The sequence below is a fragment of the Homo sapiens genome, chromosome 3 (assembly GCF_000001405.40).
Source record: "Homo sapiens chromosome 3, GRCh38.p14 Primary Assembly".
Lineage (NCBI taxonomy): Eukaryota > Metazoa > Chordata > Mammalia > Primates > Hominidae > Homo > Homo sapiens.
The window spans coordinates 44,361,045-44,373,907 of NC_000003.12; the positions used below are offsets into that span (position 1 = coordinate 44,361,045).

Below are 12,863 nucleotides of genomic sequence, written 5' to 3' on the forward strand. Positions count from 1 at the left end.
AAACAAACAATCATTTATTACTTTGGGATATTTAGTCATTGGCATTTTCTACATTTAGGTTATAAAGGAATTCAACCATGTTTTCTTCTATTACTTATATGGTTACATCTTTTTACATCTTACCCATATGGAGTTCATTCTGTTACATGTTGTGAGATGTAGATCCAATTTTATCTTTTACCAAAGAGCTATGAAATCCCAACATTTTTAAATACTAAATTATTTAATACTCTCAATGTGTTTAAAAGGTTAGATAGATATCATTTCTGATATTTCCTTGTTCTATTTTGTATGTAAATGCCCTTAATGTTTTTTTCCAGGAAATCAATGAAAATTCTCTTAAAAGGTTAAGTGTCTACCTAGAAAACCTCCAGAAACCAGGCTTCAAGTCTTTGAAACCAACTCAGCTTACATTTTATGTAAGAGAAACAGACCAGAGTTCCTCCGATGGCCAGGAACCTTTTAGTACTTCCGGTACGTTTTTTATTTCTGGTGTGTCCCTTGCAAGCTTAATGTTAAATGTGTTCATTAATTTTGACATTGCCAGAATACCTTTGGATGAAAACTTTGGTGATAGAAAAATAATAGCATTTAATTGATTGTTTTCCTAGAATTAGATTCTATTCCTACCTGCATATGTTCGAACAAGTGATTTTTTGCGTGTTTAAACGTTTTTGTTTCTAAAACTAAAGTGTTCCTATTTGTTCCCTTACCAGTTCAGTGTTATTTTAAGTGTTAAACATGTCCAAACAATATGTATTTCTAAAAACTACAGCTTGCATTCTCTTATTTAGTCCTCTGAATACTCTGAGGCTGGTAGTACTTACCCAATTGTAACTTAGTGATGTTCAGTGCCTTTCCCAAGACCAGAGAGAAAGAATATGAGTCTTGAACCCAGGTCTTTGAACTCCAACCTTATGCTGCTTCTAAAATCCAATTGATCTTAGCAGACAGCCACCTTTTCACTACCTTTTGTCACTGCTTATCCATATTTAAAATTAAGGACAAATATTTAGGGTAAAGATCACTAAAGGCCTATCATTTCTCTAATTATACATGCTTTTAATGATCCTTGAAGAAATAACTATATTTTTAGAATGAACTTAAGACAATTTAAGGATTCACTGAGTGCTTTCTGTGAGTTAAGGCTAAAACAGGATACACTGTAATTTTTTTTTGAAACAAACTGTTATAAAACTCAGAATTTGATAGGTCTTTGAGATCTAAAATCTGTTTCTAGCTCTGCCAGTGACCTAGCTGTGTGACCTTTAACTTTTGGGTGTTCATTTATTAAAATGAAAGAGTTGGAGAACTGTGTAGAGGCCACTCACATGGAAGATCCCTAATTTACACCTCACCCTCCCCCGGCTCTCAGGACTTCAAATGGAAGGAGGAAGAGCTTGATCTGAAGAATGCTGAAGTATGTTGAAGACAACTCCTCACCCAGTCTCTCCAGGGACTAGTATTTGATAGTATATGATCTCTTACCTTTTATTTTCTCATAATTGAATATGGGAGATCAGGAGTCACAAATTCCTTTTCTTGGCAGTTTCTCCATCTACCTCTGACTTAGAGTTTTATTAAAAATAGCCCTATTCTTCAATATTTAAAGATAGAAAGTCAATTCATAGCCCTTTTGTGAAGGAACAGGTATACTGAAGAATGCTGTAAATAATGAATAATAAGCATGTTGATCACTCTAAGTGACACAATTCTGTTTGAAAGTTTAAATACATGAATGTGCTGTTCCTAGGCATGAGAGTCTCATAAGCAACTGAGATAGATTGTTACTAGTGTAAAACCAAATATTCATAAATATTTTTAATAGATGTATGCTCCTGTTAGTCAGGGTCAAGATTAGGCTAGGAATTAAATAACATCTTACATATATGTAGTGGTCTACTTAGGTTTCATTATTTCTCCAGGAAGACAGATGGAATTTTTAGAGGCAGATTATATCCTTTATAGTTGTTAAAATAAAAATATTATCATCAATCTGTTTTTATTTGTATGTGGTTGAAAGAGTCGAGCTCGTTCCTACAGCTACCACTAGTGCTTCTGCTACCACTCTCAGCTGGATTTGTCTTAAATATTGAATATACATGGAGTTAAAGAGTAAACTGAATTTAAAAGCTTAGTGGAAAACTTAGGAAGTTTCACACAGCAAATTAGGGACAGAGCTGGTACTAGAACTAATGTCTCCTTATTCCTAGTCCAGTGTTTTGATTTGTATACCACATTATCTATTAATTCTTCTTTTAAAATATTGTAATTAATCATTTTTCCTTTTGCCTTTATAACAAAGATTGGCCCTCTGACAAAGATTTAAAACATTTTTACTTCTGTAACATTTTTACCTGATTATAAAATTAAAATCAAGTAGATTTTTAAAAAATTTTTATTTCTAGAACACTAGAAATCATTAATCAGCTTTGAATAAATAAGATGGTGATAAGGTAAAATGTTTACTAGTGATTTTCATTACTGAAATTTTATGAGCCTTTAGCATTATTAATACATTGAAATCCTTAAAGGCTGAAATTATTTCTTCAGCTCCGTATCTTTTTGGTGGTTCATGAGGAAGTAAATGTTGTTATTAGAATAAATTTTAAAATAAGTTAAAGATTTGCTAAGAGCTTTCTGTGAATTAATGCTAAGACAAATAGCTGTAGCCAGCTCTGGCTGAGTAAAAACAGAATCCTTTACTTTCAGTTAATGGTTAACTTTGAATGATTTCTTAAACAAAAATAGCTTATAGCTGGGCATGGTGACACAAGCCTGTACTCCCAGCTACTCAGAAGACTGAGGTGGGAGAATCACTTGAGCCCAGGAGTTTGAGGCTAGCCTGGACAACTGGACAACACAGCAAGTCTGTCTTTTTTTTTTTTTTTTTTTTTTTTTTTCATACGGAGTCTCACTCTGTTGCCAGGTTGGAGTGCAGTGGTGCAATCTTGGCTCACTGCAACCTCTGCCTCCCAGGTTCAAGTGATTCTTCTGCCTCAGCCTCCTGAGTAGCTGGGACTACAGGCAAGCGCCACAATGCCCAGCTAATTTTTGTATTTTTAGTAGAGACGGGGTTTCACCATGTTGGCCATGATGGTCTCGATCTCTTAACCCCGTGATCCGCCCACCTCAGCCTCCCAAAGTGCTGGTGTTACAGGCATGAGCCACCGCACCTGGCTGAGACTGTCATTTAAAAAAAAAAAAAATGTAAAAGGTTACAGAAAAAATTAAACTAGAAATGGGAGAAAAGATATAGCATATATGACAAAAAGATGATGCTAATACATAAAGAGTTTTTACAAATTAAAAATAAACCAGAGTAGTTCCATTCCAAAAATGGAGAAAGACAATAAATAGACAGTTCAAGAAATAACACATATAAATGTCAGTTAAGTATATAAAAATCTTTAGGCCATGCGTGGTGGCTCACGCCTGTAATCCCAACACTCTTGAGAGGCCAAGGCAGGCAAATTGCTTGAGTCCAGGAGTTCCAGACCAGCCTGGGCAACATAGCAAAACCCCGTCTCTACTAAAAATACAAAAAATTAACCAGGCGTGGTGGCATGTGCCTGTAGTCCCCGCTACTCGAGAGCCTAAGGTAGGAGAATCACCTGAGCCCAGGGGGCAGAGGTTGCAGTGAGGCAAGATGGCAGGCACCACTGCACTCCAGCATGGGTGACAGAGTGAGACCCTGTCTCAAAAAAAAAAAAAAAAATCTTTAGCCTCAGTATTCGAACGCAAACTGAAATAATTAGGTAGTATTTTTTGCCCATTAATTTTTTTCTTTTTTTGCTGGTAATACCCATAAATGGTAAAAATACATTTTCCCACATTATTGATGGGTATATAAATTAGTGCAAACTACAAACTCTGCAGCTTGGAATTCTCTCCCCAAAGCCACAAAATTCTTCTTGGAATGTATCCTGAGGAACCAGTAAAGGATATTTGCAGTGTGGTACAGGCAATCCTCACTATATAGCAGCTCTTATGTTGGATTAAATAATGAGCTGATAAATTGAGATAGAAACAGATTTACTCCTTGACTTTGCACTTCTGAGGATGAGCTATTTTTTCTTAACCTCCAGTGCAGCAATTTGGGTTTTCCTTTCCTCCTTTACTGACTAGAATAATTCCCTTGCCAGTAGTTCTAAGTTTACCCAAATTATTGAACTAAAAAAAAGTATTTCTTAGTTGGCATGTTCTGGATCTCATAAGTTGGTGTGGCAAGTAGAATGTGTATCTCTGACAATGATTTAAAGTGTGGTGTCTGTCATCAGTTGCAAATACTTTTTTTTTTTTTGAGGCAGAGTCTTGCTCTGCTGCCAGGCTTAAGTGCAGTGGCACAATCTCGGCTCACTGCAATCTCTGCCTCCTGGGTTCAAGTGATTCTCCTGCCTCAGCCTCCCGAGTAGCTGGGATTACAGGAGTGCACCACCACACCCGCTAATTTTTGTATTTTTAGTAGAGACGGAGTTTCACCTTGTTGGCCAGGCTGGTCTCCAACTCCTGGCCTCAAGTGATCCACCTGCCTCAGCCTTCCAAAGTGGTGGGATTACAGGCATGAACCACTGCCCCGGCCTCATACGTGATACACACATACAAGCACATAGACGGAAAAGGTCAAAGAACAGTGCTGCCCAAGAGAACTTTCTGTGATGAGGGAAATGTTCCATATCTGCATCATCTAATATGGTGGGCCCTAGCCCCGCGTGCTTATTGAGCACTTGAAATGTGGCCAATGTGGCCAAAGAACTTAATTTTAAATTTTTATTTCATTTCAATCAATTTAATTTTAAATTGCCACATGTGCTAGTAGCTACCATCTTGGGTAGAGCAGGTCTGGAAGAATATGTACCTGTTAATAGTGATTACCTCAAGTAAAGATGGTAAAGTTGTATGCCTGCTAACAGGAGAATTTTGCTTTTAATTTTCAAAACTAATTAAGAATAGTTTTTTAAAAAAGCGAAGAGTCAGCATGTTGTAGTGGAGAAAATATTTGGCTTGGTGTCAACTCAGATTTAAGCCCTGGCTTCATTCTTAATCTATGTTCCTTCACATTTGACAAGAGAAATGATAATGGCATAGTTGGTGGTAGTGTTGATTGAAAAGATATGTAAATTAAGCTGGAACCATGCCTAACACCCAGAAAAGAAAAAAAGCAAACCAGTGGATTTTTTATTGATGACTTAACAATTTAGATTACTTACCTTAGCCCAATGATTACCCAACATCAAAATCAGTAACTTTTTTTTTTTTTTGAGACAGAGTCTTGCTCTGTCACCCAGGCTAGAGTGCAGTGGTACAATCTCGGCTCACTGCAACCTCCGCCTCCCAGGTTCAAGCAATTCTCCTGCCTCAGCCTCCCGAGTACTTGGGATTACAGGCGCCCACCACTGCGCCTGGCTAATTTTTGTTGTTTTTTTTTTTTTTTTTTTTGAGACAGAGTCTCGCTCTGTCACCCAGGTTGGAGTGCAGTGGCACGATCTCGGCTCACTGCAAGCTCCGCCTCCCGGGTTCACGCCATTCTCCTGCCTCAGCCTCCAGCTGGGACTACAGGCGCCCGCCACCACGCCCGGCTAATTTTTTTTTTTTGTATTTTTAGTAGAGACGGGGTTTCACTGTTTTAGCCAGGATAGTCTCGATCTCCTGACCTTGTGATCCGCCCGCCTCGGCCTCCCAAAGTGCTGGGATTACAGGCATGAGCCACCGCGCCCGGCCTAATTTTTGTATTTTTAGTAGAGACGGGGTTTCACCGTCTTGGTCAGGCTGGTCTCAAACTCCTGAGTTCATAATCCACCCACCTTGGCCTCCCAAAGTGCTGGGATTACAGGAGTAACTTTTAAACAACTAGAGAATTTTAAATCACTCCTGAAAATATTGGGTTACTACCTAGTGGAGTGAGCAAGTATGAGGACCATCTCCTTCAATCATAGAGAAAATTCAAGATGGGTTTCTGTGACCACTGAGACTAGATTATATGGCCCCTCTTACCTGAACTGCTGTCACAGTGTACACTAGAAACTATCTTTGGTGGACACCTGCTTATAGGAGAGCTTTTCTCTCTCTTAAGAGACCAGATTTATCGACAGAATTGAGAATATTCTAAATCCCCTTGGTGGGCTGGGATGGGTTTGGTCACTGGAGCCAAACTAGAAAATGGAGCTGATGATTGAAGTAATTCACTGGAGCCAAACTAGAAAATGGAGCTGATGATTGAAGTAATTCATGAAGGTAAAAATAGTGTGGTGTAGTTTTAGAGAAGGGAAGTCATTTTCCATTTACAGGTGATTTGCTAATAGGACGAATTTAAATCAGTAATAGAATGTTTAAAAGATTTTGATTTTATATATGTTGAAATAAAGCAAATAATCATCTGTATTAATTGTTTGGGGGAATTATATTCTCTAGGATTTCGAGCAGTCAAATTTACTTTGCACACCAGAGATCTGCTAAGCACAGTGTTATATATTCTCAACTCCTGCAGTTTATCTGTTGAACATATCCAAAGCTTGAATACTAATATGCATACCCAGCCTCTCAAAGAAGCTAAAAGGATGCCTGACAGGCCCATCAAATGGGACAAGTCTTATTACTCCTTTACTGGATTCAAGGACCCTGATGAAGACCTTGAACAAGTCTCGAGAGTGGAAACAACTCTCACGTATGTAAAAGTTTTTATCTAACTAAACTGTATTTGTAGTTTGTGTTTATGACACTGATTTATTGGGATGGCAAAAACATTTTTTTATAAATAAAAAGTGTAGTTCACATTTAAAATTAAAACCTAATTTTCCAGGAAAAGTAATACTATCAGTCTAGTTAATCCAGTAATCATTATGAAAAATATATTTCATGTTTCTTACTTAAAGCTGCCAAAATACTTCCAACTGTATTTAAAGTTGTGGTCTTTTGATACCAAACACATGCAGGAGATTGTTTTGTTTAACTTTTAAAAATTCTATTCAAGTTACCCCCGGTACATGGAGAAAGGCTATACCTAAGACTATACAAATATTTTTTACTCTTCTTCATGTGTTAGGCATTTCTAACGGATAGTTCAGTAGTGATGTACTTTAGTGTAATAATCCATACATAAGAAAAATACATGGTGACCAAATTATTAAATATCATCTAGAATAGCTGCTTTAAAGAGTTACTTTTTAAATTATAAAAATCATATATAAAATGTTTTCTATTATTTGGCATGCCTTATTTGTAAAGTCACCTTAATGTTTTTTAAGTCATTTTTGGATTTCATAAAGACCCATCACATTCTCTTCTTATGATTGTATCTAAAAAGTCCAGTGGCTTATCAGAGGATTCTCTCATTATGGCATAGTAAATGATCCTTCATTATCCACTGGCATAATATCTGCTTTGTGGATTATCTATACTAAGGGATTCCTCCTTGCTACCTAGCTAGATTCTAAATAAGGCTGAAAAGGTAGGAAGGTAGCAGAGTCTAGTACAGAAAAGTATAGAAGTATGTGTCTGAAGACGTGTATGTATGTACCTACGTGTGATAGTCTATGATATTTGTCTATATGCATAACTGATGGATAAATCACTTCCCTAAATATGATGACTTTAATTGTTCAGATTCTCCTCTGAGATGGAAATGTGGGTTTGGGAATAACAATTTAATGATGGACCAGAAGTAATGACACAGTAAGAAGTCAGGTAAAAAATGAAGAGCCTGGCACTGTGGCTTATGCCGATAATCCCAGCATTTGGGGAGGCCGAGGTGGGAGGATTTCCTGAGGTCAGGAGTTCAAAACCAGCCTGAGCAACATAGTGAGACCCATCTCTACAAAAAATACAAAAATTTAGCCAGGCATGGTGGTACACATTTGTAGTTCTAGCTACTTGGAAGGCTAAGGCAGGAAGATCCCTTGAGCACAGGAGTTTGAGGCTGCGGTGAACTATGATTGTGCCACTGCACTCCAGCCTGGGTGACAAAGTGAGACCCTGTCTCCAAAAAATAATAAATAAATAAAAAGTAGAGTCATGGTGGCATAGAGGTTGCCGAATTGAAAATTTTGGTATAGAAAAACAGAAGAGATAATTTAAGGTTAATTGCACACAGAGGCTACAGTGAGAATTGAAGTAGATTTCTCTGAGCACAAACTGGAAGAGAAGTTCTCAGCCTTGCCTTCAAGTTTTATGTGGGACACGGCACATACAACTTCTGCTTACACCCGCGGGAGAATATTGTTGTACTTATCTTGCGCTGTGTCTAGATGAACAAAAAGTTGGGGATTACTGGCCTAAAGAGTATAGAAAACAGTGAGATTGAATACATCAAGCCAAAACAGCAAAAGTAACAGTTTTTGGACTTCACTCAAGTTAAAAGGGCCTAAGAAGAATGTATTAAAGGATTTCATAGAAGCAGTTGGTCTGTGGTTCAGTTGAGTATTTCGTAGAACACAGTTTTTATTTGGAGCTGGATGTGCAGCCATCATGAAAAGAGTGCCCCAAGGACCTAGAACTGGACTTAGACACCGGCAAAGTAGTGAAAATACATTGAAACTATAGAAAGCCAACTCAACAAGATAAGTGTATTCAACTGGGTTCCTTACCTAAGCTCAGTATTTATAATTTTTTTATTTGTATGTCATTTATCCAGTAAAATTCCTTAGTCTTTAGTAAAAGGAGACTTTCTTATATTACATTCGACTATATGAGTTCTTAAGAGTAGGGAATATGTTTTGATAATCTCTGTGTCTACTAATCTACTTCATAGATTCATAGAATCCATCCAGTATTTTCATTGAACTGAACTAAAGAATTGTTGAATAACTAAATGTGATGTGCTAGAGGCTCAGTTTGAAGAACTCGGGCTTTAATATGTGAATGCAAAGTAACATACATAGCGTAGCAATAGAAGTCACTTAGCAGTGAATGTAGAGGGCCATTTTTTCTTAAAGTGCTTCTGTTAATTTCATTAATGTTAACTAAAAAAATCTGCTATTTTTAGTGAAAGATACATTGTCTTAAGGAAAATTTCTATGCATAGATAAGTTATGTTGCTGTGAATTCTTGATTTCCTCAAAAGTCAGCTTTGTTTTAAATTCAAGCTTTTATTTTGACAGTTATGAGGACAAGCTCAAAAAACAAGTCCCTCTGACTTGTTGTCTACCCTTTAAGAGTATAGCAACATAAAAAATGCCTTGGGAGGCCGAGGCAGGCGGATCACAAGGTCAGGAGATCAAGACCATCCTGGCTAACACGGTGAAACCCCGTCTCTACTAAAAATACAAAAAATTAGCGTGGTGGTGGGCACCTGTAGTCCCAGCTACTCAAGAAGCTGAGGCAGGAGAATCGCTTGAACCGGGGAGGTGGAGGTTGCAGTGAGCCAACATCACGCCACTGCACTCCAGCCTGGGCAACAGAGTGAGACTCTGTCTCAAAAAAAAAAAAAAAAACCACTGTTTTAGAAATTGAAGTCAGTGGAAATTTAGCTTTCTAAATCACTGATTATTATTATCCATCTTGTCAACAGCTATTTTATCTTTACAGAAATTAAAGTAAACCCATTATTAAGCAGTTAGAGCCTTTCTTTTTTTAGCTTCATAAAGTGAAATTAATAGTGGCATAGCATTACAGTAGATAGGTTTTTTGTTTTTTTTTTTTAGTTTTTTTATGCTTATATTGAAGGGCCTTAGATTGTATTTCTTTTTTAATTTCTTTCTTTCTTTCTTTCTTTCTTTTTTTTTGAGACAGGGTCTTACTCTGTCAGGTTGGAGTGCAGTGGCATGATCATAGCTCACTGCAGCCTCAAACTCCTGGGCTCAAGTGATCCTCCCGCCTCAGCCTTTGGAGTAGCTGGGACTACAGGCATGTGCCACCATACCTGGCTAATTTTTTTTTTTTTTTTTTTTAAAGATGGAGTCTCACTCTGTTGCCCAGGCTGGAGTGCAATGGCCCTATCTCGGCTCACTGCAACCTCTGCCTCCCGGATTAAGCATTCTCCTGCCTCAGCCTCCCGAGTTGCTGGAATTACAGGCACACACCGTCACACCCCTGGCTAATTTTTGTATTTTTAGTAGAGACGGGGTTTCACCATGTTGGCTAGACTGGTCTCGAACTCTTGACCTCAGGTGATCCGCCCACCTCGACCTCCCAAAATGCTGGGATTACAGGCATGAGCCACCGTGCCTGGCCCATACCCGGTTAATTTTTTAATTTTTAGTAGAGACAAGGTCTCACTATGTTGTGCAGGCTAGTCTCAAACTCCTGAGCTCAAGCGATCCCCCTGCCTCAGCTTCCCAGAGTGCTGGGATTACAGACATGAGCCACCATGCCCGGCTAGATTATATTTCTTAAGCATTGACATCTTATTGATTTACCTGAACCAGATCATCACAACTCATGGAGTTTGAGTTTAGCTTAAGAATGTGTAATTTTAGAGCAAAAAGTCCAGGTTGGGTAGGAGAGAGAGGACAGCACTACACTGAACCAAGACAAGACAAGGAATACTGCTCATTGGGCTGTTAGAGTGAAATGCAGGGTAGGCTAAATCCCTTTACCAGCATGTCTTACAGTGCTGATGTAGCATTATAATACCTGTACTCATCTGAAAGGTTTCATATCTCTTATCTCCCTAACATAACCTGGTTTCCCAATTCTAGCATGTTCACATAGGCCCAGAGCCCCTTGACCTTTCCCTAAGCATGAGCATTGCCCAGTTTGAAGGAACCTCTGCTGAGGGTTTGTTCAATGTTTTAATATATGGTAGTTTTTCCTAGTAAGGGTTCCAGGAGCTTATATCATAAAAGCTGGAATGGTATCTCTATCAATTTCTCATTTCAATTACAGTTGACCCTTGAAGAATGTGTGTTTGAACTGTGCAGATCCACTCTTACACGGATTTTTTTTCAACCAAAAGCAGATTGAAAATACCATATTCGCTCCCCAAAAACTATTGAAATAGTAATAGAGAGAGAGAGAGAGAGAAAGAGAGAAGGAAGGAAGGAAGGAAGGAAGGAAGGAAGGAAGGAAGGAAGGAAGGAAGGAAGGAAGGAAGGAAGATACAGTATTAGCAAGATGTGAAACCTATGTATAGGGAAGGCCGACTGTTGGTATACGCATGTTTGGCGGGGCCAACTGCGGGACCTGAGTATGCACAGATTTTGGTACCCGTGGGTGGGCTTGGAACTAATGCCTCATGTATAGCAAGAGAAAACTGTACTGATTTTTTTATATCTGTAATTATTTTACAAATAATTGTAAAACTGTTGAACCATTTCAGAGCTTTCAAATCATGTGAATCAAGTGACTGCCTAGTAGAGAGATTCATGGTGCCTATAAGTCTACTAAAACCTATTAGCCATCATGGTCATTTTGGCCATATGCAGTTTAAATTTTTATTCATGTATTGTTTAATTCATCTTCATTACATGTATAGATTATAGAGAGGAATCATAAGGAACACATGCTGAATTATATAGTTCAGAAGTAGCATAAAAATGGTAATTCTGCCCATTTATATCAATCTGATCTCTTGATTTACAAATTACATTCATTGGATCAAAACTTTCTTTTTTTTTTTTTTCTTTTTTTAAGACAGAGTCTTTTGCTCAGTCGCCCAGGCTGGAGTGCAGTGGTGCTATCTTGGCTCACTGCAAGCTCCGCCTCCCGGGTTCACACCATTCTCCTGCCTCAACCTCCCGAGTAGCTGGGACTACAGGCGCCTGCCACCACACCCGGCTAATTTTTTTGTATTTTTAGTAGAGATGGGGTTTCGCCGTGTTAGCCAGGATGGTCTTGATCTCCTGACCTCATGATCCACCCGTCTTGGCCTCCCAAAGCACTGGGATTACAGGTGTGAGCCACTGCACCCGGCCCAAAATTTTCTTTTTAATTAAATCTTTAAAGCAAGTTAAGATGGTTTTAATGTTTCTGAGCACTATGTTAAACGAGAAAATATAATTACAGTGTTATTTAGTATAGACTTTAACTTTCAAAATAATTTTATCTGTTTTTGGTTTTGCTGAGAAGTGCAGGGTAAAATTGTGTCCTAGCATTTTTAAATTAAAATAAGAAATCATAAAAATAAATCAGTTGAGTTTTTTTATTTTTATTTTTAAATATTTTTTGAGACAGGGTCTTGTTTGGTTGCCTAGACTGGAGGAGTTTTTTAAAAACACAAAATGGGAGATTTATCAGGTCATAAAAACTCTATTTAACCCACTTTTATATTATATCCATTAATTACATTTTAATGTATATTTTAAGGCATGGTTTGTAATTTTGAATTTCTCAGCAGATTGTGTTTTATCTTACTTCAACATTCCTTTGTTATATACCTATAAAAATGATAAAATGAAAGCTTTAGGCCAGGTGTGGTGGGTCACGCCTATAATCTCGGCACTTTGGGAAGCTGAGGTGGGCAGATCACTTGATGTCAAGATGGTGGCCAACATGGTGAAACCCCATCTCTATTAAAAAAAAAAAAATAGCCAGGCGTGATGATGCATGCCTGTAGTCCCAGCTACTTGGGTGACTGAGGCAGGAGAACTGCTTGAACCCGGGAGGCAGAGATTGCAGTGAACCAAGATCGTGCCACTGCACTCTAGCGTGGGTGACAGAGTGAGACTCTGTCTGAAAAAAAGAGAAAAGAAAAGAAAATTTTAATACGTAAGTAGTTTTTGAAAATTATATAAAATTATAAAAGGAATGTTCCAGTCTAAAAAAAATTAGGAAATGCTGTTCCGTGTTGTCAATTTTTGTATTTCTATATTTTGGGTATATTCTTTGATTATCAAATTATGTTAAAACAAAAATGTACTTTAATTATATAGCTTGTATTTGAGAGGAGCTAACCAGATCCATTTTATATAAGCAAAATAATTCCATAT

General features: G+C 37.8%; 1 protein-coding gene across 5 annotated transcripts in view, besides 1 other annotated feature; it reads left to right on the forward strand.

Annotated features, from left to right (window-relative positions):
* Positions 1 to 12,863, forward strand: part of TCAIM (T cell activation inhibitor, mitochondrial) — a 71,320-nt gene that overhangs the window by 22,916 nt on the left and 35,541 nt on the right. For 3 of the 5 annotated variants that reach the window (NM_001282913.2, NM_173826.4, XM_047448023.1), the window contains 2 exons: positions 321 to 474; positions 6,412 to 6,664. In NM_001282913.2, the coding sequence (NP_001269842.1) occupies positions 321 to 474; positions 6,412 to 6,664 (407 nt within the window). The remainder of the gene's footprint in view (positions 1 to 320; positions 475 to 6,411; positions 6,665 to 12,863) is intronic. The other 2 variants (NM_001282915.2, NM_001282914.2) reach the window with 1 other exon arrangement.
* Positions 1,169 to 1,369: a silencer, noted in NCBI's record as "peak4626 fragment used in MPRA reporter construct". NCBI's record gives its function as "represses an SCP1 promoter by STARR-seq MPRAs in K562 erythroleukemia cells {active_cell/tissue: K562}" and the evidence as "EXISTENCE:reporter gene assay evidence [ECO:0000049][PMID:32103011]".